Source organism: Homo sapiens, chromosome 1, assembly GCF_000001405.40.
Source record: "Homo sapiens chromosome 1, GRCh38.p14 Primary Assembly".
Lineage (NCBI taxonomy): Eukaryota > Metazoa > Chordata > Mammalia > Primates > Hominidae > Homo > Homo sapiens.
The window spans coordinates 228,160,936-228,182,257 of record NC_000001.11 but is presented as its reverse complement, the minus strand read 5'-3'; the positions used below and the strand labels follow the sequence as shown (position 1 = coordinate 228,182,257).

Here is a 21,322-nt window from a genome sequence, read left to right as displayed (position 1 = left end):
TAAAATATACTGTGTACTTTATTTTCATTGGCTATAAGCATTCAATACATGGTTGAATGAATGAAGAAATGAATGAATCAATGAAAGATGGACCAGAGCTCAGCCATCTCCCAGTTTTTCTTCAGCAGGACCCCCTGCTATTATTGTCCCTGAGAACTTCTCACTGAGAGAGTCTGACATAAAACAAAATGTATTAATCCTTCATTTCTCCCACAAATGCCGATGCGCACAAACTAAGCTAGCACCATCGCCAGGGAAATCAAAGACGGGGACACTGGAGATGGTCAGATGCCCACAGCCCAGACAGTCACAGTCCTAGCTTGGGCTCCCTGCCCCAGGGTTGGCACGTGGAGCACTGCCCTGGGTCTCCATGGCCCATAGCCAGACAGACCCTTTTTCTTACTTTTCTCAAACCAAGGTGTTCACCCAAGACGTTCAAAATTTAAACACTGAATCTCTAAATGGAAACTAAGAAGACTGACAGCACCAAGCGCTGGCGAGGACGCAGTATGACAAGAACCTGGCACACTTCTGGTGGGAATGTAAATGCTGCACTCACTCCGGGAAAATGTCTGGCAGTTCCTAGCAACACTGAGTTTTCCTGCCCTGTGGCCCAGAGCTCCACCCCAGGGGCTTACCAGAAAGACAGGAAAATGTATGTACACACAACCTGTGCAAGTGTGGAGATGCAGAGACCCCTGAATAAGAACAGGCAAACATTCCTTATTCCCAGCTTGCTAAAGTAAGGGAATCAGTCGCCATCACTCATATTGGGTGGAGATGCCCAGGCTGGCCAGAGGAGTGGGAGAGCTTCCAGGTGAGACAGGGACGGCTCCAGGTGAGCCCTGATGGAGTCTGTGGCCTGGGGAACTAGAGGCAGCTCACAGGAGTGGGCCTCCCATGAGATTGGTGAAGGAAGTGTCTGCCTCCATTTGTGCTGCTACAAGAGAATACCTGAGGCTGACTCATTTACAAGGAACAGAGGTTTATTGGCTCACGGTTCTGGAGACCGGACAGTCCAAGATCCAGGAACTGGCCGACTTGGGAATTCCACCTCCAAGATGGTGCTTTGAACACTGGAGGGCAAGAGAGGCACAAGCGGGCTGGACTTACCCTTTCATAACATTAACTCCGCCCTTGGAGAGTGGAGCCCTCACAGCCTAATCACCTCTTACAGGCCCCATCTCTTAACACTGTTAGAATGGCAATTCAATTTCAACATGAAGTTAGCACAGTGCCTCATGCCCCAATCCCAGCTACTTGGGGACAAGAGTTGAAGACCAGCATTTAAAAACAAAAAATTTTAAAAATTAGCATGCACCTGTGGTCCCAGCTACTCAGGAGGCTGAGGTGGGAAGATCACCTGAGCCCAGAAATTCAAGACCAGCCTGGGCAATGCAGTGAGAACCCCATCTCTACAAAAAGTAAAAAAAAAAAAAAAAAATTAGCTGAGTGTGATGACTCACACCTGTAGTTCCTGCTACTCAGGAGGCTGAGGCAGGAGAATCATCTGAGCCCAGAAGGTTGAGGCTGTAGTGAGCTGTGTTTATGCCACTCCACTCCAGCCTGGGCAAGAGTGAGACTCTGTCTCAAAAAAAAAAAAAACACTCCCAACTACGATTTTGAGTTTGTTCATTTCTCCTTGAAGGACTGGCTTTTAAATTCCATGGTCTTCCCTCTATAGTTTGGAAGATATATTTCCATTCTTTTAGAGATTATCTGAAAACTCTGATAAGCCTTGTAACAGATGCTGAAGTCAGTGTCCGTGCCCTCCTTCCGACCAGTAGGGGGACTTTAGAACACTGTAGGTTTGGGCACCTCTCTCCCAACTCAACATGTGGCATCTTTTTTATAAACTCCAAAAGTAGGCATTCTAAGTAGAAGCTTCTAGATGTGGTGTTTTAGACATGCCCACAAATCCACCTTCCTGCCTATTCACTCCTTCTTCCATCTCCAGCTTCCCCACAGGATCCCTCGCCAGAAGCCCAGACATGCCTTAGACGCTCTAGGCTCTGCTGGCAGCAAACTCCGGAGTGAGGGCAGTTTCGTGGTATGAAAATGCGTTTAGCCCTCTTTTTTTTTTTTTTTTTTTTTTTTTTTTTGAGACAGAGTCTCATTCTATTGCCCAGGCTGGAGTGCAATGGCACAATCTTGGCTCACTGCAACCTCTGCCTCCTGGGTTCAAGTGATTCTCCTGCCTCAGCCTCCCGAGTAGCTGGGATTACAGGAATATGCCACCACACCCAGCTAATTTTTATATTTTTAGTAGAGACAGGGTTTCACCATGTTGATCAGGCTGGTCTTGAACTCCTGACCTCAGGTGATCCACCTGCCTTGGCCTCCCAAAGTGCTGGGAATACAGACGTGAGCCACTGCGCCTGGCCCCTCATTCTTGAAAGACGGATTTTCTGGGTACACAATTCTAGGCTATCACTATTTTCTCCCAGGACTTTGAAGATATTATTTACTATCTTTCTGGCTTCCACTGTTGCTTTTAATCAACTACTTATTTTCTTCTTTCCAGATAATCTCTTTCTTTTCTGCCTTAAGATCTCTTTGTCATGAGATTCTGTACTTTCACCAAGACGTGACTGTTTGGGTAGAGCTTTTTAACTATGCTGCTTGGGAGCTGCTGGTTCCTGAACCTAAGGAGCAGGGGCTCCTGTTGGTTTGGGAAAGTTCTCAGCCGTATTTCTCTGAATACTTGCCTCCACCCCATATTCTCTTTCCCCTCCTTCTGGAATTACTCGTAAATTGCGGATGTCATACTAAACTCTCCATCTTCTTGTCTCATCCCATCTCATATTTTCCAGCTCTGTCTTTCTGTGCTGCACTTTGGGTCATTTCTTCAAACAGTTCCCGATTCTTCAGGAAACACATCATGGAATATTTTTTAGAGTATTTTATTTTTATTTCAACAAGTTCTCTTTTTAAAATCTGCTTGGTCATTTTTATAGTCTCTTGCTTCCTGTGCATAAATTGTTTTCTTTAAATATATTAAACATCCTCATTCCATGTGATGTGTCTGCTTACTCTAAGATCAGAACATTGGTGTGTGTGCTTCTGTCTGCCTTTCTGCTGGGCCTTGTTTATGGTACTGTGTGTGTGTGTTGACAATTTCTTTCCTGTACCTTAGGATGTTTTGGTATCTCAAAAAAAAAAAAAAATTCCACCTTCTGGCTGGGAGACTGCCCCTCCCAGGCCAGCCAGTCCTTACAGATAAGGGCCCAGCTGGGTGTGCGCGCCTCCGCAATGCAGCCTCACCAGTCCAGAGCCCACCTCTATCTGGCCAGAGCACTCTGGCAGCCAGGGACCACTCCTACAGCTTGGAGCCCATGGAAATCACTCCAGCTGGCCAGCCGCACATCTGCCCTGCCTTGCCTTTCCTGGGGAAGTGCCAGGAAAGGTCTAGCAGAGGCTCTCCCAGGCTCCTGCCTCTCCTCTCGGGCTGCGCTTGACTGACCGCCTCATACAAGAACACAGAACAGGGAGCTTGTCTCCTTGGGGATTAGAAGATGATGATGATAATGATTTTACAATGAACGTATACTTCTTAGGATGTTTTCTATCTAAGGCCTGATTTGGAGGTGGGTTTCTCACAGTTTCTACACTGTCTGCCGGGCTCTGGAAATACTACCAACTGCAACTTCTCTTCTTTTTTATTCTTTCTTTGTTTTAAGACAGGGTCTTGCTCTGTTGCCCAGGCTGGAGTGCAGTGGCACAATCACAGCTCACTGCAGCCTCAACCTCCTGGGCTCAAGTGATCCTCGCACTTCAGCCTCCCGAATAGGTGGGACCACAGGTGTGGACCACCATGCCTGGCTAATTTTTTTTTTTTTAAGAGACAGAGTCTTGATATGTTGCCCAGGCTGCTCTCAAACTCCTGGGCTCAAGCAATCCTCCTGCCTCGGCCTCCCAAAGTGCTGGGATCACAGGCATGAGCCACCACACCCGCCCATATCTGGCTTTGAAAGGAAAATACAAGCATGCTTTCCTAAAGATGCACCATATACACTGTGTTAAGTAAAACAGCTCAGAAACAGACAGTCAAACACCACACGTCCTGCCTCATAACCAGGAGCTGCCCAACAGGCAATGTGGGCTCAGAAAGTGGAAGGCGGATGTGGGGGACTCTAACGAGGGGAGGCAGGAGGTGTGAGGGTAAGAAGCCCAGACTGCACCACCATGCACTATACCCACATAACACAACTGCACCTTATGCCTTGAATTCACACACACACACACACACACGAACTTCCTATGTTTTTACAACACAAACTAAAGCAGACAGGAAAAGCAGTGTGCAGTTTTGGAGCGGCTACACCAGCTCTCAGCAGATCCCAGTGTTCCTGAACACAAAGCTCTGACCCTGCCGATGCGCTTTAGGGCCTGCTTCCAAGGTCCTAAAGGCCAGGCCTTTCTGAGAGGACTAAGGACATTTTGGTGAAAACTGATTTGGTTTGTATGACAGAGGGGCTCTTTTGTTGACTGACACTTTCCTTTTTAAAGACACAGAAGAGGCTGGGCACAGTGGCTCATGCCTGTAATTGAGACCATCCTGGCCAACATGGTAAAACCCCATCTCTACTAAAAATACAAAAATTAGCCGGGCATGGGGCATGTGCCTGTAGTCCCAGCTACCCAGGAGGCTGAGGCAGGAAAATCACTGGAACCTGGGAGGCAGAGGTTGCAGTGAGCAGAGATTGTGCCACTGAGCTCCAGCCTGGCCAACAGAGCAAGACTCCATCTCAAAAAAAAAAAAAAAAAAAAAAAAGGACACAGAAGAACACGAAATGTGTTTGATCTGAACCAAGTATTTTGAGATCCTGACACCTGCAGAGACCTGAAGACACTGAGGGGGCACAGGATGGCTCAGGCGGCACCTCACTCTGGAGTGGAGTGCTTCCTTCCTGGCTCACCTCCTAGCCCTCACCCAGCCACACCCACGGGACAGGCTAGGATGCTCCCAGATGCTGCAGCACTCAAGGAGGCCCCACTGGAAAAGCCAGGCAACTTCAGGCAGATGACAGAGCCGGGACACTTTGAGCTCGAGGCACAGACCCTCATTCCAGGGGTGCATGCCCCTCATGCAGGAGACACCAGCTCTTGGTGACACAGGCCACAGGCACCCACTCCTGGCTGAGCTGGAGAGAAAACTGGCTGGGAAGCTGATCAAATGTCTCCATGCCAGTTTAAAGCAGCAGCCAGTGGGGCTGAAAAGGTTGCAGGGATGCTGGTCTGGAATCCATCCTGCGCTGGGCGCTTCCAGACCATGACCTGTCCAAGAGGGGCTGAAGGCCACCGGCTCTCAGGACCGCAGGGGTCAGGGCCACCTAGCTGTTTCCTTGCCCATAGGAGAGCTGACTGCAGCGGGTGAGGCTGGACGGCCCCTCTCTTCCCTCCAGCTGCAGCCGCTTCCTCCCGTCCATCCGCTCTACACCCTCCTCCTGGGTGATCACAAACTACACTGCAGCTCAGAGCTGCCTTTAGACCCCTGACCCCAAAACCGCCATGGCTGCAGATTTCTAGAGAGCACCTGTGGCCCCCCAGGATGGCGGCACAGGCTCCCTGCCTGCTTGGCCCTCTGTGGCCACCCTAACGTCCAGCTTGGTGGCCCAAACGCCTGCCCCCCAGGCCCTGCGCCCTGCAGCCGACAGCTCACAGCCATGGGGCTGTCCTTTGCAGACTCGGCACCCACGTGCCCAGCCTGGGCCTCTGAGGCCTCCCCTGCTGGCCTGCAGCCATGCCAAGTGCTTCATCTGGTAGGTCTGGGCGTTCTCAAAGGAGCGCTGTTCCCGGGGTCCAGTCAGCCAGATCACAAAAACTAAGCCCCCACCTCCCTCTCCCCCAAATGAAACCAGAGCTCCCAAGGGGCTGCCTGTGGCTCACTCTTTAATAGATGCCCTGAAACATAGAGCTCACACTTCAGTGGGAAGGGGGAAGCCAGTGGGTGAACAGGAGGCTGTGCCCCGTGACTGACAGCAAGTCACTCTCACTGCAAACACAGGCTATGCCAAAACCCAGCACACACAGGCAGAACTCTGCCCTGCTGGCTCCTGAGCCCTGCGCTGGCCCCCACCCCACGCTCCTGGAGGGCTCTGAGGAGGAACAGAGGTGGGGAAACATGGGAGATGGGCACAGCCTTCCACAAGCCTCCAGCATGGGATACCTAGTGGCTCATCCCTGTGTGCTTCTCGATGTGTAGACACCCACATGCCACCTGATCCAATGCCCCAGACCCCTCTAGACCACGCATAGCCCCACCCTGAGACATGCTGGAAGCAAGCACAGTGAAACAACTCCCAAAGCCCGAGCCCCAGCCTGCAGACCCTGGACACCACCCCGCTTCCAGGCACAGGGACCAACCCCCCATGAGGCTCATGCCAGGCAGAGTGGGGTACAAGGCCCGGAAGCTGCCAGTGCTGGCCAGAGACACCGTCCCGTCCTCCCAGACAACCCTGTGTGGAGCCACGATTGGGACCCGGCGCCATCTGGAGCCCAGCACTCACACGGTGGGCTCCTCTGGGGCCACAGGAAGTCCAGGGAGAAAACAACCCACGTGCCTGGGGCCCCTGAGCATGGGTGGGGCCAGGCAGGGCACCTACAAGGGGGACTTTCCCAGATGGAAACCAGGGCTCCCACCCAGTAGGCGCAGCAGACAGATGGGACGGGAAGACCCTGGACAGAGGCCAAAGGCCCCAGGCCCCAGCCTCCCCATCAGCCTGCGCCAGCCAAGGCTTCGGACTACTTGGAGACTGTAGGCCACCAGTCTGGCACAGATGCGGCTAAGGCCACCTGGGCACCCTCAGAGGCTCTGATGTGCAGAGGACCCTTGATCTTCTCTGACCACAGCAGGGCCAGCCCCACGTTGCCCTGGCCAGCCCTGAACTTGCCCACAGTCTGTCCTGAGGCAGTCAGCACCGTGGCACCAGGGGTGATGCCACTGGTGGGAAGGGGGTCCAAGAACCGGACAGGGAAGAGGCGCTTGCGGATGACGCCCATGTGGTGGGTGCGGGCCGTCAGCTCCTGGCCAATGTAGCAGCCTTTGGTGAAGCTCACGCCGTTCATGAAGGCCAGGTTGGACTCCAGGGGCAGGGCCACCCCAGGAGGCAAGTCTCGGACCCCCTCAGGAACGCCTGCAGGGATTGGAGGGGGGAAACCAGCGAGAATTGAACATCGTCCAGCTCCACCCGTGCAATCCAGCCCAGCGTGCCCACCCCACCCATACCTTGCAGGTATCGGTGCTGGTGATAATCCCACAAGTCCCCGAGCCGGCCCCCGGGCACCAGGGCTGGGCCTTCATCCTGGGTGAGGAGCCGCCACCCCATGCGTGCTGTTCGCGGGTCGCGGATGAGGATGGCGGCAGCCCCTGCCCTCTCCTGCAGCGATGCAGCCCCGCAGGCCTCAGGGGAACTGGGCAACACCGCCCACACTCGCAGCTCCGGGTGCGGCTCCACCGTGACCTTCCGCCGGATCCTGTATAGCGCGAGGTGCTTCTGCAGCGCGCCCTGCACCGAGCTGTCACACTCCAGAAGGAAGCCAGACACCTCCGAGTGTTCCTGGAGCCTGCAGGGAGAGAGGCAGGGGCGCATGGCAGCTCACCAACTGAGTGGGCCAGAAAGGGCTGCATGAGGGAGCGCGCCTTACCCGGGCAGAGGAGCACACCGTGGACCAACGCAAAGAGCTCTGCCCTCAGCCACAAGGGGCTGCGCCTTTAAGGCAAGCGCCCAGGTCACCACACGCAGGGAGCCACGCCCACAGCGAGCCACGCCCACAGCGAGCCACGCCCACAGCGAGCCACGCCCACAGCGAGCCACGCCCACAGCGAGCCACGCCCACAGCGAGCCACGCCCACAGCGAGCCACGCCCACAGCGAGCCACGCCCACAGCGAGCCACGCCCACAGCGAGCCACGCCCACAGCGAGCCACGCCCACAGCGAGCCACGCCCACAGCGAGCCACGCCCACAGCGAGCCACGCCCACAGCGAGCCACGCCCACAGCGAGCCACGCCCACAGCGAGCCACGCCCACAGCGAGCCACGCCCACAGCGAGCCACGCCCACAGCGAGCCACGCCCACAGCGAGCCACGCCCACAGCGAGCCACGCCCACAGCGAGCCACGCCCACAGCGAGCCACGCCCACAGCCACACCAGGCAGCACCTCCCAAGGCGCGCATCACAGCTAGATGCGGGCACCTTGGAGACCAGCGCAGAGTGCCGCGCCCACAGCAATGCGAGGGTGCGTGCAGACAACGCACAGCAGGCCAGGCAGGGTACACCTGGACCAGCGCATGGAAAGCCCTGCCCACAGCCGTGCGCAGCTGAGCCTCCGGAGCTCTCGTCTAAGCAGGCAAAGACGAGCTCACAGGGGCCAGCGCAGACAGACCCTGTTTGCCCAGGGACTGGCAGAACTGCAATAGCCTGCCCGAGGGCATCATCCGGAGTAGTCCCAGAGCCTAGGGCAGAAATGACAACAGTCCGCTGGATGTGGGAGCAGGGATGGGCAGGGCCCCGCAGGGGAACGGTGTGCACAGCCACTGAGAACCAGACCTGCCTGTTCCAGCCCAGGGAAGCCATCGAGGAGCCCAAGGGTCCTAAGGTGGGCAGGAGGGAGGAGCAAGGAGCCCAGGAGGTTGTCAGGGAGGTACAGCATGCCTGAGGCCCACTCTGCCCATGCCCACCACCTGCCTCCCCAAGCCAAGTCTCAGAACCCAATCGGGGCCCCAGAGCCATTCTGACCTGCACTCCAGGCAGCCCTCCTCAGAGGATTTGGGCAGGCACCACAAGAATGACCCCTGACCAGACGGATGGTGGGAAGAGGAGAGGCTGGGCAGCGTGGGGCATGTCGGGGGGGGGGGCACTAAGTGGAGACACCTGGGGTACAGCCACCTCCATGGCTGGGGTTGATTGCAGGTATGGACTGCACAGGGCTTCACAGGCTGGTGGGAGCTGAGACAGGGAGGTAGTAAGACCCCCAGAGGGCCTTCCAGAGACAAGCCCAAGAGCAGGTGGCCCAGCCCCTTCCAGCCAGGAGAGGGCTCAGTCCTTGCCAGTTGCCCAGGGCTTCAGGTGCCAAGCAGGGGCCTGCTGCCCTCATCTCTGCAGTCTCACTCTACCCTGTGGTCATGCCCACGTGCCAGCAGCCACGGAGAACGTTCACGCTCATCACCCAGAACCAGTAGGCACAGGTCTCACTGAGGACCCTGCCGCAGGGAGGGTGGGCATAGCCAGCTGTGACAGCCAGTGAATCTGGCCCACACTCCAGGACAGCGGTCACAGGACATCAAAAACAACACCCACAAGGGAGGGGAACATATGTCATTTACACACGTGGGCTAAGATGACGGGAGGAACAGCAAGGACAGCACAGAGGGGCAGCCGCAGGTGTGCCGCGGAAAGGTCACCACGCCACCAGGGAAACACAGGCGATGTGGCCCAGACAGATGCAGTGGTGAACCTGAACACTGGCCAGCATGAGGAGAAACCAGGTCACTGGCATGCTGCTGGTGGGGAGGCAAAACGGGTGGCCCTCTGGAAGACAGGGTGCAGGTCCTCACAACACCAAACAAGCAACTACTCCACGACCTGGCCCTCTCACTTCCGGGCATGGATCACTGAGAAACGAAGACTGCAGCTCACACAAAACCTGCAGCGAAAGCTCACAGCAGCCAGCTATACTGGTAACAGCCAGAAAGGGAGAATCAAGGTGCCACTACACCATGTGGGACTTCTCAGCAAGAACAGGGAGCTGGAGATGGACAGAAGTGGGTGGATCTGAGGGCACTATGGTGAGGGAAAAGGGTAAGGCTAAAAAGTGACAGGCCGATGCATCCATCTATGACACTCCTGAAATGACACGATTTTACAGCTGAGAACAGGTTTTGGGGTGTTGGGGGTGCCCATTCAGGGGCAGGAGCAGGAAGCCGCGTGGGCCTGAGAATGGCCACAGATATTCACACGTGATAAAACTGCAGTTATACACATGCGTGCACAGACGCACAAAGTAAGACACACAAATCCAGAGACCCCAGATATGCCCTGTGTGTGCAATCAGGGGAACTGGGGAGGGGTCCGTGCGATCTCTCCCACGGGTTTTGTTTTGTTTTTTTTTTTGCAACTTCCTGTGAATCTATAATTATTTCAAAATAAGAAGTGAAAAAACAACAACAACAACAACAAAAAAAAAAAACAAGGAGCTTCGCCTGCAGAGGTGTCCGAGCACTACAAGAGGAAAGGCAGCAGGCAGTCCTTTCATCCCAGCCATCTGACATCAGCGAGTTTTTAACCACGTGCATGCATATTTGTATTTTTAAAATCTATAGTGGGGTCAGCAGACAAAGATGGACCAAAACACAGGTGAGTGGGGGACCCGGGCAGAGGGACAGATGTGAGGTCATGGGCACAGGATGCTGGGCGCCGGACAGGCAGGGAGGAGCTGAGCGACGCCAGGCAGTAGAGGGACAGAGTAAGGGGACTAGAGTGGAGCTGAGGGACCACAGGTCCAGGGTCTAGTGAGCCAGGCACACAGGCACAGGGGAGGCCGCAGAGCCCTACAGGGCAAGGGCAGGAGCTGGGGCAAGGCAGGCAGGGTGGGGCCAGGGTGCCCCATGGGTCCATCAGTCAAGAGTGGAGCCCAGAAAAGATCAAGCTGAGGGCCCCTGCACTCTGAGGTGGGGCCAGCTCAGCTGCCTGCCTTGGCAGGAACCCCCACCCATGCTGACACCCCCTGCTGCCCCCATCTGCTGAGCACTCCCTGGCCTCACACAGGGTGGATGTCCTCACAGGACCCAGGTTCTGGGGTCGAGGGCACTTTCCAGCTCTCTGTGCCGGTGACTGTCTACCAGGCAGCTTCTCAGGACCAGCTGAGCTGGGACATGACCCCCGGGCCCACCCCAACCCCTGCCACACCTGAAGACTGCCAGGAGACTTGCCTCACAGGAGAGCCCCGGCCTGGGGAGCTTTCTCAGCCTCATCATTCTCCATAGTGGGGGCTGTCCAGATGCTAAGCAGCACCCCTGGCCTGTACCCCACCCCATCATGACAACCAAAAATATTTCCAGATACCGCTGAGGGGCGCAGGGGACAGGGTTGCCAAAGAAAATATAGGGTACCTGGTTAAATCAGAATTTCACATCGACAACAAATTACTTTTTTTAGTATATCCCAAATACCGCATAGGATGCACCTACAGATCATCCGTTGCTCGTCTGAGACGGACCTGGGTGTCCTGTGCTTTTGTTTGCTGAGCCCAGAAGCCCCGGTGGGAGCAAGGGTGCAGGAAGAGGAGGGAGGTCAGGGGTGGCTCTGGCCCAGCCAACTGAAAGAAAGGGTCCCCTGGCCATCAGATCCAAGGGTTTCCAGTCATGTTCAGGAAAACACTGCTCTGGGACCCGGCCTGACTCCTTCCCTTCTCTCTCCTCCCTCCTCCCCAGGCCACCAGAGGCCTGACAAGTCTCTCCTGCTCCTCAGTGCTGGCCAGACACAAGGCCACAGCCCTGACACTCTTGGGCCTGCTGAGCCCTGCACTGAGTCCACATCCTTGCCCCGGCCAGCTCGCAGCAAGGCCACTGGACCACAATCCTACCTGCAACATGACCCTACAGCCTCTCTCTGCCTCCTACATGAAGAGAGATCAAAACCAACTGATAGAAAGGGACCCTAAGGAGGCCAGGCATGGTGGCTCATGCCCGCAATCCCAACACTTTGTGAAGCTGAGGCAGGAGAATCGCCTGAGCCCAGGAGTTCAAGACCAGCCCGAGCAACATAGTGAGACCTCAACTACCTGTAGTCCTGGCTACTTGGGAGGCTGAGGTGGGAGGATCACTTGAGCCCAGGAGTTTGAAGGTACAGTGAGCTACAACTGTGCCACTGCACTCCAGCCTGGGCAATGGAGCGAGACCCTGTGTCTAAAAAATAAAAACAAAAAAACTCAGACCCATATGAAAATCTGCACATGGATGTTTACAGCAGCTTTATCCATAATTGCCAAAACTTGGAAGCAACCAATATGTCCCTCAGTAGATGAGTGGACAAATAAACTGTGGTCCATCCAATGGAATACTAACCAGTACTAAAAGAAATTAGCTGTCGGCCGGGCGCCGTGGCTCACGCCTGTAATCCCAGCACTTTGGGAGGCCGAGGCGGGCGGATCATGAGGTCAGTAGTTCGAGACCAGCCTGACCAACATGGTGAAACCCCGTCTCTACTAAAAAAAGATACAAAAATTAGCTGGGCGTGGTGGTGCATGCCTGTAATCCCAGCTACTCAGGAGGCTGAGGCAGGAGAATCGCTTGAACCTGGGAGGCAGAGGTTGCAGTGAGCCGAGATTGCGCCATTGCACTACAGCCTGGGGGACAGAGCAAGACTCTGTCTAAAAAAAAAAGAAATTAGCTGTCAAGCTATGAAAAAACATGGAGGAATCTAAACGCATATCACTAAGTGAAGAACGCCAATGTGAAGAGGCTACAGATGCATGAGTCCAACTACAGGACATTCTGGAAAGCATGAAACTATGGAGACACTGAAAACATCAGTGGTGGCCAGGAGTTAGGGGAGATGGATGGATGGGCAGGGCACAGAGGATTTCAAGGCAGTGACACTACTGTATGTGATGCTACGATGGTAGACATGTGTCATCATACATTTGCCTAACTCATGAACACACCAAGCCAAGAGTGAGCCCTCATGGAAACTGTACTCCAAGTGATGATGGCATGTCAACAGAGGTTCATCAGTTGTGACGAAAATAGCACTCTGGTGGGGGAAGTTGTGAGGTAATATGGGAAATCTCTGCACATTCTGCTCTTTTGCTGAGAACCTAAAACTGCTCTAAAAAGCAACTCCTATTAAAAGACAACAACCAAATAACTATAGTTTCATCTGAAAGAAGGTGCTACATTCAGGAAACAAGAATAGGGTGCTTTAAGGAAGCGATGGCTCAGGATGATATATTAAGTATCAAAGTTGAAATAAAAAATCCTACAGTCAGGAAAAAACCATAAAGGAATGATGGGCAGGGAATGACCAGAGAAGCAGGAACACACAGAGGCTTCCAGGGAGAGGTGGTCCCTGACCTGCAGGCTGCCCTCTCCCCAGAGGAGTGACCAGAGGGGGCAAACCACAGAGAGGGAGGTCAACAGCCAACAGCAGCCCGACAAGGAAAAGAGTTTACACTCTCATGAACTGAACTAAACGTGCCCAACGAGCGCAGCCCTAAGCCCACCCATGCCACATAGCTGGGAGGGGTGGCATCTGGACACCTGTCACCCACCACCCCTGGGGAGACACTCAAGGAGGTAACCTTGTTGTGTCCCTCTTCTGACGGCTGAGGAGAAACAGGGCCATGAACTCCAACAGAACTGAAGCTAGAGGGTTTCAAGTATTATTACACAGATGCTGAATCCCACGGAGGATGGTCCCGCCCCACCTGACCCCTCAGAGTGGAGCTCCCTGGCCTGTGACGTTGTGTCACATCTCAGAAGGGAGACCAGAGTTGGATGACGTCACCCTTCAGTGCTGAGCTGGGGAAGAACAGAGCCGCCTCCAATGCCCTCAGCACTCAGAACAGTGGCGGACACACCAGACACCCAGCACAAGTGAAGAAAATTAACTCCTCCTGCAGACCTCGAGGACAGAGACCCCCACAATGAGAGCAAATAGAAAGACACAGAGGAGCCACCAAGCATATGCTTGGTAAGGGGAGCTGGGGCCCAGTAGGTCTGCAGACAAGCTCCAGACCAGGCAAGAAAGGATGAAGAGGAAAAAGCCCTGAGACACAGAAAGGACAGACAGCTGACCCTTGAATGATGCAAGGGCTAGGGACACTGGCCCCCACACAGTTGAAAACCCACCTTTAAGCTTTGACTCCCCAAAAGCTTAACTACTAACAGACTCCTGTTGACTGGAAGCCTTATGCATAACATACGCAGTCAAGTGGCACATATTTTTTATGTTTTATGCTATTATATACTGTATTACAATACGGTAAGCTACAAATCCCAGGAAGAAAATCCTAAGGAAGAGGAAATGTAGTTCCACTTCACTGAATGGAAATGGATCAACATAAACATCTTCATCCTCATGGTCTCCATGTTGAGTAGGCTGAGGAGGAGGAAGGAGAAGAAGGGTTGGTCTTGCCGTCTCAGGGTGGCAGAGGTGAAGGAAAATCCACGCATAAGTGACCTATGTAGTGCAAAGTCAGCTGTACTTTACACCACAAAACACTTATTAAGAATAGGAATTCAATTGAACTAGGACTCAAAGGGAAAAGGACAAGAGAGGACTATAGAAATATGGAAGGGAATTTGGGGACCAAAATCAACATCATTGTAAGGCTAACATGTGAACAGCAAAGTACTAACATAGAAGGCTCCAGAGAATCAAAGAATGTAGTTCTTAAGATGAAGAAATTAAAGCAGCTAGACAGAATGTAATGAATACATAAGACAGACTATGATGACTATATCTCTGAACTGGGACATGAAGATTTAAGCCTATTGAGCTAGGGTGGGCACACTTTTTCTGTAAAGGGCCAGTGAATAACTTAGGCTTGAGGGCCACACTCGTGCCACAACTCTACCACTCCAGACAAAAGCAGCCCCAGGCCGGGCACAGTGGCTCACACCTGTAATCCCTGCACTTTGGGAGGCCGAGGCGGGTGGATCACCTGAGGTCAGGAGTGTGAAAACAGCCTGGCCAATATGGTGAAACCCTGTCTCTACTAAAAATACAAAAATTAGCCGGGCATGGTGGCAGGCACCTGTAGTCCCAGCTATTTGGGAGGCTGAGGCGGGAGAATCTCTTGAACCCTGGAGGCAGAGGTTGCAATGAGCCAAGATTGTGCCATTGCACTCCAGCCTGGGCAACAAGAGCAAAACTCCGTCTCAAAAAAAAAAAAAAAAAAGAAGCCCCAGACCACCTGGAATCCAACGGGTGGGGTTCCCAGAGAATTTTATTATAAACACCGGCAATGGGCTGGGTCTGACCTCAGGGCCGTATTTCACCAACTCTGGTTCTAGATTTAAAGAGCCCACTAAGTGCCCAGAGATGTGATATGGAAAAAGCCCAAACTAAGACACATCAGCATGACATTTCACGACATCAAGAATAAAGAAAAGCTTCTGAGAAAAACACAGTTCACATACAAATAAGAACGGCACCAGACTTCTCAGAAAAGCTGGCAGCGAGAAAACAAAGTTGTGATGTGAACATTGTCGGTGACAATTTCCAAGCTAGATTTTTACACCCAGCCAGGATATCAGGTAAAGCCACTAGCAGAGACACAATGAGTCCAAAAATTCACCCCACGTAGCTCAGGAAGTCATTAAAAAGGTGTCCATCCCCTGAAACCAAAACACAGGAGTAAGCTGAAGAGAACAAGAACCGGGTCCGCCATAGCAGGGACAGCAGGCAGGCGGCCGCGAACCAGATCCACTCCACCGGGCGGAGGTTTCAGGGATCCAGGTCCCTGGAAGCTGGGCAAGGGAAACCCAAGGCTGTAAGCAGTCAAGGCCCTGACCCGGCATGAACATCACTGACAGTCGTGATGTCAGCACAGATGACTGAGCCAAATGCCAATGTGACCAGCTATGGGGAGACACAGGGAAACACAAGGTAAACAGAACTCGGGAGTGTCACCACAAGCTGTCACTCAGAAACACAGCTCTGCCACCAGGCGGGGCCCCTGAACCCCTTGTCCCTGCGGAGGGAGAAGGGTCACCAGATGGCCCACTTGGGAGGTGCCCACCTAGAGACGCCTCTGCTCTGATATGGTGGGCTGGCCCCCAGGCCTCCCCTGGATGAGTCGCTGACCCATCCCTGGGTGTTGAGCCAAGCCCTCCTCTGGGTGCCCTCCCCCGGGTGCTGGGCCCTGGGTGAGCTTCCCCTGGGTGTCCATCCCAAGTGGAATCTCCTGGGTGCCTGACCCTGAGTGCCAGTCGCTGGCCCACCCACCCTTGAGCTTCCACCCCATCCCGGCCCTCCCCGGGTGCCCACCCCCCACGCCCTCTGCAGGCCCCGGGCGCCCGCCCTGTCCCTGGGTGCCGGTCCCTGGCCACTCCCCTGGGTGCCCGCCCCCGAGCGCCCTCCCAGCACGCGCTCACCCGTACAAGATGACGTCATAGAGCGTCCGGCCCTGCACGTTCAGGAAGTGGGCGTAGCCCGCGCGCGCAGCAGGCGGGGCCCCCGCGGCCGCAGGACTCGGAAGCGGCAGTTCATTGGTCAGCAGCCCTAGCAGGAAGGGCGCCGCGTCGGGGCCACGCACGCGCAGCAGGGTGCGCCCGTCCAGCCGGAAGCAGGCCCAGGCCGCTCCGGCCGTTGGGTCGCCACCAGGACTGCAGGAGCTGTGGGCCAGGCGGCACCTTGGGGCCGCGCGCAGCCGCCAGCGCCAGACCGGGCCGCCGCGCCCCGGAGTGGCGCCTCGAAGCAGCGCCGCGGTCGCCATCTTGGACAAGAGTGGGGCAGCGGGAAGGGCCCAAGGAAGCGGGAGGGGCGGGTGCCACAGCGGCCCCTGGCGGTGGCCGCCGGAGGGAGGCGGGAAGGGGCGGGCGCAGAGTGCGTGCGTGAGGGGTGAACGGAACGTGCGTGCCTGAGGGGCGGAGCAGCGCCGGTTGAGGCCGACTGAGAGTGCGTGCGTGAGGAGCAGGGCCTCCCGAGCTGGAAGGGGCGGGCGGGGCGAGCGTGCCTGCTGGGTGGGTGGGGCATGCGTGTGGGGCGGAGCATCGTGCGCGGGGTGTGTTTCGGGGCGGGGACTCGGCCTATCCGTCAGCACGCAGGCTCCACCCTCGGTAGGTAACGAGGTTTCTGCCGGCCTCTTAAGCGCCATCCCATGTCCCATTCGGTGGCCTTCCTCGTTTTCACCCACCCATGTCGGGCACCGTCACTCATCTCGAGAACCTCTTCATCCTCCCAACCTGAAACTCCCTGTTAAACACCCACTCCCGAGGCCCTGGAGCTCCCATTGTACCTTCTGGCTCCATGAGCGTGCCTCCTCTAGGGACCTCACAGGAGCAGAATCCTACGGGATTTGTCGTTTGCGACGGCTTATTTCACTCAGCATAGTATTCTCAAAGTCCATCCACGGTCTAGCATGTATCAGCATTTTATTTTTATTTTTATTTTTATTTTTATTTTTTGTAAAGACAGGGTCTTGGTTATGTTGCCCAGGCTGGCCTCAAGCTCCAGAGCTCAGGCAGTCCTCCCTCCTCAGCCTCTTGAGTAGCTGGAACTACAGGCGCTAGCCACCACACCAGCTAATTTTTGTATTTTTTTTGTAGAAATGGTCTCCCCATGTTGTCCAGGCTGGTCTCAAACTCCTAGGCTCAAGCGATTCACCGGCTTTGGCCTCCCAAAGTGCTGGGATTACAGGCGTGAGCTACCGCACCCGGCCGCTTCCTCTTTCCTACCAGTTCGCCAGCGTCCACGTGTGGCTGTTGTGTCATTTTTTTCATTTGCTGGACCATTGGGACTTCAGCTGCAGGTGGCAGGAGGCTCCATCCCCAAGTGTCTCCACGGATAAGGACAGGCACCATCCAGCCCACAACCCCTCCGCACCCCTAATCAGTGTGACATGATGAGACACAATCACAGCTTCAAATCACATCCTTGGTAACTTCTGCTTTTTTCAGGCCAGGGTCACCCCCATCATGTGTCTATAGTCCTCTTCAGTGCAGGATTCCAAGCTCCCCTGGAGCCCAGCCTGTCCTCCCACAGGACGTCCTTCCAGACCACAGGACGTCCTTCCAATAACTCTCGTCCTCTCTTCACAGCTGAACTCACAGAGGACAATTTAGGCAGGAACCACACACTGCTATGACATATCCACCCCACCGTGCTTTCTCGAGGAGTGATGTCCCATACCCCCTGCTGAGCAGCCCTGTACAGTGGCCACTTTCCCTGGTAGTAGGTGACACATCTACAAGGTGGCCCCAGCAGCCTTCAGCCCTAGAGTCTGACTGCCCTGGTCCAAGCCATCCCTGCCTTGCTGGCCTCCTGGGGCCCATGCACCCTGTTGACATTCCCCTCTCCACTGCCCTCCACTCAAAGCACCAAAGAAGACTTACTCAATGTGTCCTTATGGTGCAGAGTCCCAGCAAGCAGAGGTCTTTGTATCTGTTGAATAAAAAAATTCCTCATGATGCGTAGTAACATCAGTGAGGAAGACTGCACCAAGGCGCATCATGTGGTGTGGGGCCCTGCCTGGCGGCCTTGGGGGAGATGGAGCTCAACCCCAACACAGCAGGGCAGAGGGTGGAGAAGCCGAGGAGCAGCGTGGGGTCTGTGGGTGGGAATGACTAAGGAGACATCAGGGCTGAGGGGTCTGGCTAAACCCACCTCACAGGGTCCTTGCTCTAGGCAGGCAGGGTGATCAGACGTCACCAGGTGATGGTGGAGGATGAGGGACCTGGTTGGATGTCATCGAGGGTGAGATATCCAGGGTGTGGGGTTCTGGCTAAACTGACTCAGTAGGGCTCTTACTAAAACTGGATTTTCCAAGCAAGTGCACAGATGGGCCTAGGAGAAAGTTCCAGATCCCAGCCGGAGTTTGGCCAAGCAGAAAGTCTCTGCCATAGCTCCCTGCCGTGTCCTGAGGGCCTGGGCCAGCAGCCGGCATGCCTTAGGGGCTCAGGTGACATTGGGCAGTCAGCGAATTCCCGCAGGCCCTGGATGTGGCCATGGAGGCCCTGCCGTTAGCCCACTCTCTTCACTGCAGCTTCCTCATCCCTGGAGCTCCCGCTTGCCCTTCTGGACCCTCCTCACAGCATCCCCACCTGCCCCAAGCCCTGTGAGGCCCCGGACCCTGCCTACCCAACCAGGCGAGGCTCCGGGCATGGTGAGGAGCCTGGAGCAAATCAGCTGGGTCCCCCAAGGTCCCTGGGCCTCAGTCCCCCGCCAGACGCCAGCTTCCTGACTGAGATAGGCCAGGCCTAGAATGCGCTCCCTAGCCACTGGCTGCAGCCGCCACCCCTTCCTCTGCCAGAGCCTGGCGTTCCTGAGGGTGACCCGGTACCCCCCGGGCAGCCCCATGCGGACAGAGCGGAAGGCAGGCAGGATGAAACCCGGGGCAGGGAGTGGCGCAGACAACACCCACGGGCGGGGGTCGAGTTCCTCTGGGCTCACGTCAGCCTGGTCCTCAGCCAGAGGAGGAATTTGCTTCCACCCCTGCACAGGCAGCAGGAAAGGCGTGCGGCAACCTGGTGCCCCGGGCCGGGCCCACTGGCTCCGAATCTGTCCTGCCTAGGCCCCCCCACCCCAAAGAAGCCACCACCAACACCAGGGGCCACTTCAGTTCGAATGGACTCAAAGGAAACAGAGCTTTCAGCTCCAGAGTCCTGGGGGCCACATTCCAGTGCCTGAGCCATGTGAGGCCGTAACTCCAGGCCACCTCCAAGAAGCCTTCCTGGACTCTACACCAGCCACCCTGGCTGCTGTTCTCCTTATCAGCAGGCAGGGGACTGGGGCCTGGCACCTGGGGGAGGAAACCCCGCCCCTGTCCTGGCTTCAGGGACCAGGCTGAAGCAGGGGCCAGGGGAGTGAGAACTGGAAAATGCCTGGGCGTAGGGGTCGCAGCCCCTGCTTCCCAGGTACTGTGGGGGGGTTGGGGGAAGGTGGTTTCCTGTTATTCTCGCCTCAGGGCTTCCTCCCTTCCTAGAGGAAGGAGAGTGCCACTGCCCTATTCTGAGGGAGTCTCTGAGCAGCTGGCCCCTCACCCCACTATGCACTCCCATGAGCAGCCGAGAGTTTTGGCTGAGGTTGTGGAAACGGATGGAGGTGAGACATGGAGTCCCATCCCGCCAGCCTGCTCCAGCACCGCCTGCTCTGGGTGTGTCCTGCTGTGTACAGGGCTGGGCCCACCAGCGACTGGCCCCCCTGCCAACCTGCCTCAGAGCTCGGAAGATGCAGGACAGAGGAGGGAGGGGGGCTGTGGTGTCAGCAGTGCCAGGCTCAGCTCATCACCGTCGTGGCCTCCCCAGGTGGCTGGGGAAACCAAGGCAGGGGTTTTCTAAAAGTGACTGATCAAGCGCCAGGAGTGCGAGATGGGTTTAGCTTCTGGGGGTCCGCAGACTGGAGCAACTAAGATACCACGTCCCACTGTAGTGGGAGATGCCAGGCCTGCGTGGTGGTGTGGGGCTCAGGCATGACATTGTGGGAACGTCCAGATTATCCAGGACTTGGTCTTAGAGGGAGGACTAGCAGATGGCGTGGAGGCTTGGGCTTGCACAGCCTCTCCTGGCTAGGGCCATCCCGCTGGGAGGGTGTGGTAACAGAGCCTAAGCCCACCAGCAGATGCTCACAAACCTGATGTGGCCCACCCACCCCCAAATGTTCAAGAAGGGAGGTCTGTCCCAGGGTCCCGTCTCCCCTTCTCTTGTGGCAATCCAGCTTCCCACTGGGCATATACCCTCTAATACCAGCAGAATTGTCCCCTCGAAACTCCTGTGCTGAAGCCCTAACCTCCAGGAACTTCAGAATGTGGCTATAATTGGAGACAAAGCCTTTAAAGAGGTGATTAAGTTAAAATGAGTTCATTGGGGTGGGTCCTAATCCACGGTGGCTGGTGTCCTTAAAAGAAGAGGAGATTAGGACACAGATGCACACAGAGGGACAGCTGTGTGAGGACACACGGGGGAGATGGCATCCACGGGCCAAGGAGGGAGGCTGCAGGAGGAACCAGCCTCGCCCACACCTTAATCTTGGCCTTCCCTTCTAGGACTGTGAGATAATCAGTGTCTGTTGTTTAAGGCACCCAGTGGATGATGCGGTGCTATGGCAGTCCCAACGGGCACACCCTCCAAGTTTGAGATCATTTCCAGCTTCCCTCGAAGCTGGGGTGCCCTTTGAACAGCTCTGGCTGGGGGATGTGTACTAGCCAGGGTTCTCCAGAGAAACAAAACCATAGGAAATATAGACACAGATACTATATACTATTTTTATATCTATATCTAGATATATAGCCAAAGACTAAAGTTTCCCAAAGAAGCAGCAGTTCTGCCTCCAGTCTGCCTGTGATGGCTAATTTTATTTATTTTGAGACAGGGTGTTGCTCTGTTTCCCAGGCTGGAGTGCAGTGGTGCCATCACAGCTCACTGCAACCTCGACTTCCCTAGCTCAAGTGATCCTCCCACCCCAGCCTCCTGAGTACTGGGACCACAGGTGCATGCCACCATGCCCAGCTACTTTTTAAATTTTTTGTAGACATGGGGTCTGTGTTGCTCAGGCTCATCTTGAACTCCTGGGCTCAAGTGATGCTCCCATCTCAGCCTCCCAAAGTGCTGGGATGACAGACGTGAGACAGTGCTTGGCCTGTGATGGTTCATTTTATGTG

The 21,322-nt window shown here is 55.3% G+C and overlaps 1 protein-coding gene and 2 long non-coding RNA genes across 5 annotated transcripts, besides 4 other annotated features; 1 reads left to right on the top strand and 2 right to left on the bottom strand.

The window, feature by feature from the left end:
- On the bottom strand, positions 1-16,454 carry IBA57 (iron-sulfur cluster assembly factor IBA57). 2 transcript variants are annotated; one of them, NM_001010867.4, is made up of 3 exons: positions 16,101-16,454; positions 7,229-7,566; positions 1-7,136 (listed from the first exon to the last, which is right to left on the bottom strand). In NM_001010867.4, exons 1-3 carry the CDS (start codon positions 16,439-16,441, stop codon positions 6,745-6,747), a joined length of 1,071 nt encoding a protein of 356 aa, NP_001010867.1. In that variant the 5' UTR covers positions 16,442-16,454; the 3' UTR covers positions 1-6,744. The 2 variants fall into 2 exon arrangements, with proteins under 2 accessions (NP_001010867.1, NP_001297256.1); NM_001310327.2 differs by lacking the exon at positions 16,101-16,454 and adding an exon at positions 7,648-7,688.
- Positions 3,116-3,410: a silencer, noted in NCBI's record as "tiled region #12629; HepG2 Repressive non-DNase unmatched - State 23:Low, and K562 Repressive DNase matched - State 5:Enh". NCBI's record gives its function as "represses a minimal TATA promoter and a strong SV40 promoter by Sharpr-MPRA in HepG2 and K562 cells {active_cell/tissue: HepG2 | K562}" and the evidence as "EXISTENCE:reporter gene assay evidence [ECO:0000049][PMID:27701403]".
- Positions 15,823-16,862: a silencer, noted in NCBI's record as "silent region_1915". NCBI's record gives its function as "represses an Ori minimal core promoter by ATAC-STARR-seq in GM12878 lymphoblastoid cells {active_cell/tissue: GM12878}" and the evidence as "EXISTENCE:reporter gene assay evidence [ECO:0000049][PMID:35858748]".
- Positions 15,823-16,869: a biological region, named in NCBI's record as "H3K27ac-H3K4me1 hESC enhancer GRCh37_chr1:228353090-228353992".
- Positions 15,967-16,869: an enhancer, noted in NCBI's record as "H3K27ac-H3K4me1 hESC enhancer chr1:228353090-228353992 (GRCh37/hg19 assembly coordinates)". NCBI's record gives its function as "activates a minimal SCP1, AML or CMV promoter by ChIP-STARR-seq in primed H9 embryonic stem cells {active_cell/tissue: H9 hESC(primed)}" and the evidence as "EXISTENCE:reporter gene assay evidence [ECO:0000049][PMID:30033119]".
- IBA57-DT (IBA57 divergent transcript) lies at positions 16,746-18,172 on the top strand. Of its 2 annotated transcripts, none has more exons than NR_103540.1 (2): positions 16,746-16,784; positions 17,766-18,172. It is a non-coding gene; the product is annotated as an IBA57 divergent transcript (long non-coding RNA). The 2 variants fall into 2 exon arrangements; NR_103539.1 differs by lacking the exon at positions 16,746-16,784 and adding an exon at positions 17,410-17,604.
- LOC124904534 (uncharacterized) lies at positions 17,076-21,064 on the bottom strand. Its single transcript, XR_007066913.1, has 2 exons — positions 18,805-21,064; positions 17,076-18,108 (listed from the first exon to the last, which is right to left on the bottom strand). It is a non-coding gene; the product is annotated as an uncharacterized LOC124904534 (long non-coding RNA).

What these genes read in the sequence shown, in the direction of transcription:
- IBA57 (NM_001010867.4), bottom strand. Translation starts at nt 16,441, where the DNA reads ATGGCGACCGCGGCGCTGCTTCGAGGCGCCACTCCGGGGCGCGGCGGC. An exon ending in TATGACGTCATCTTGTACGG is followed by an intron (nt 7,567 to 16,100) that starts GTGAGCGCGTGC and finishes CTCTCCCTGCAG; the next exon opens with GCTCCAGGAACACTCGGAGG. An exon ending in CCAGCACCGATACCTGCAAG is followed by an intron (nt 7,137 to 7,228) that starts GTATGGGTGGGG and finishes CAATCCCTGCAG; the next exon opens with GCGTTCCTGAGGGGGTCCGA.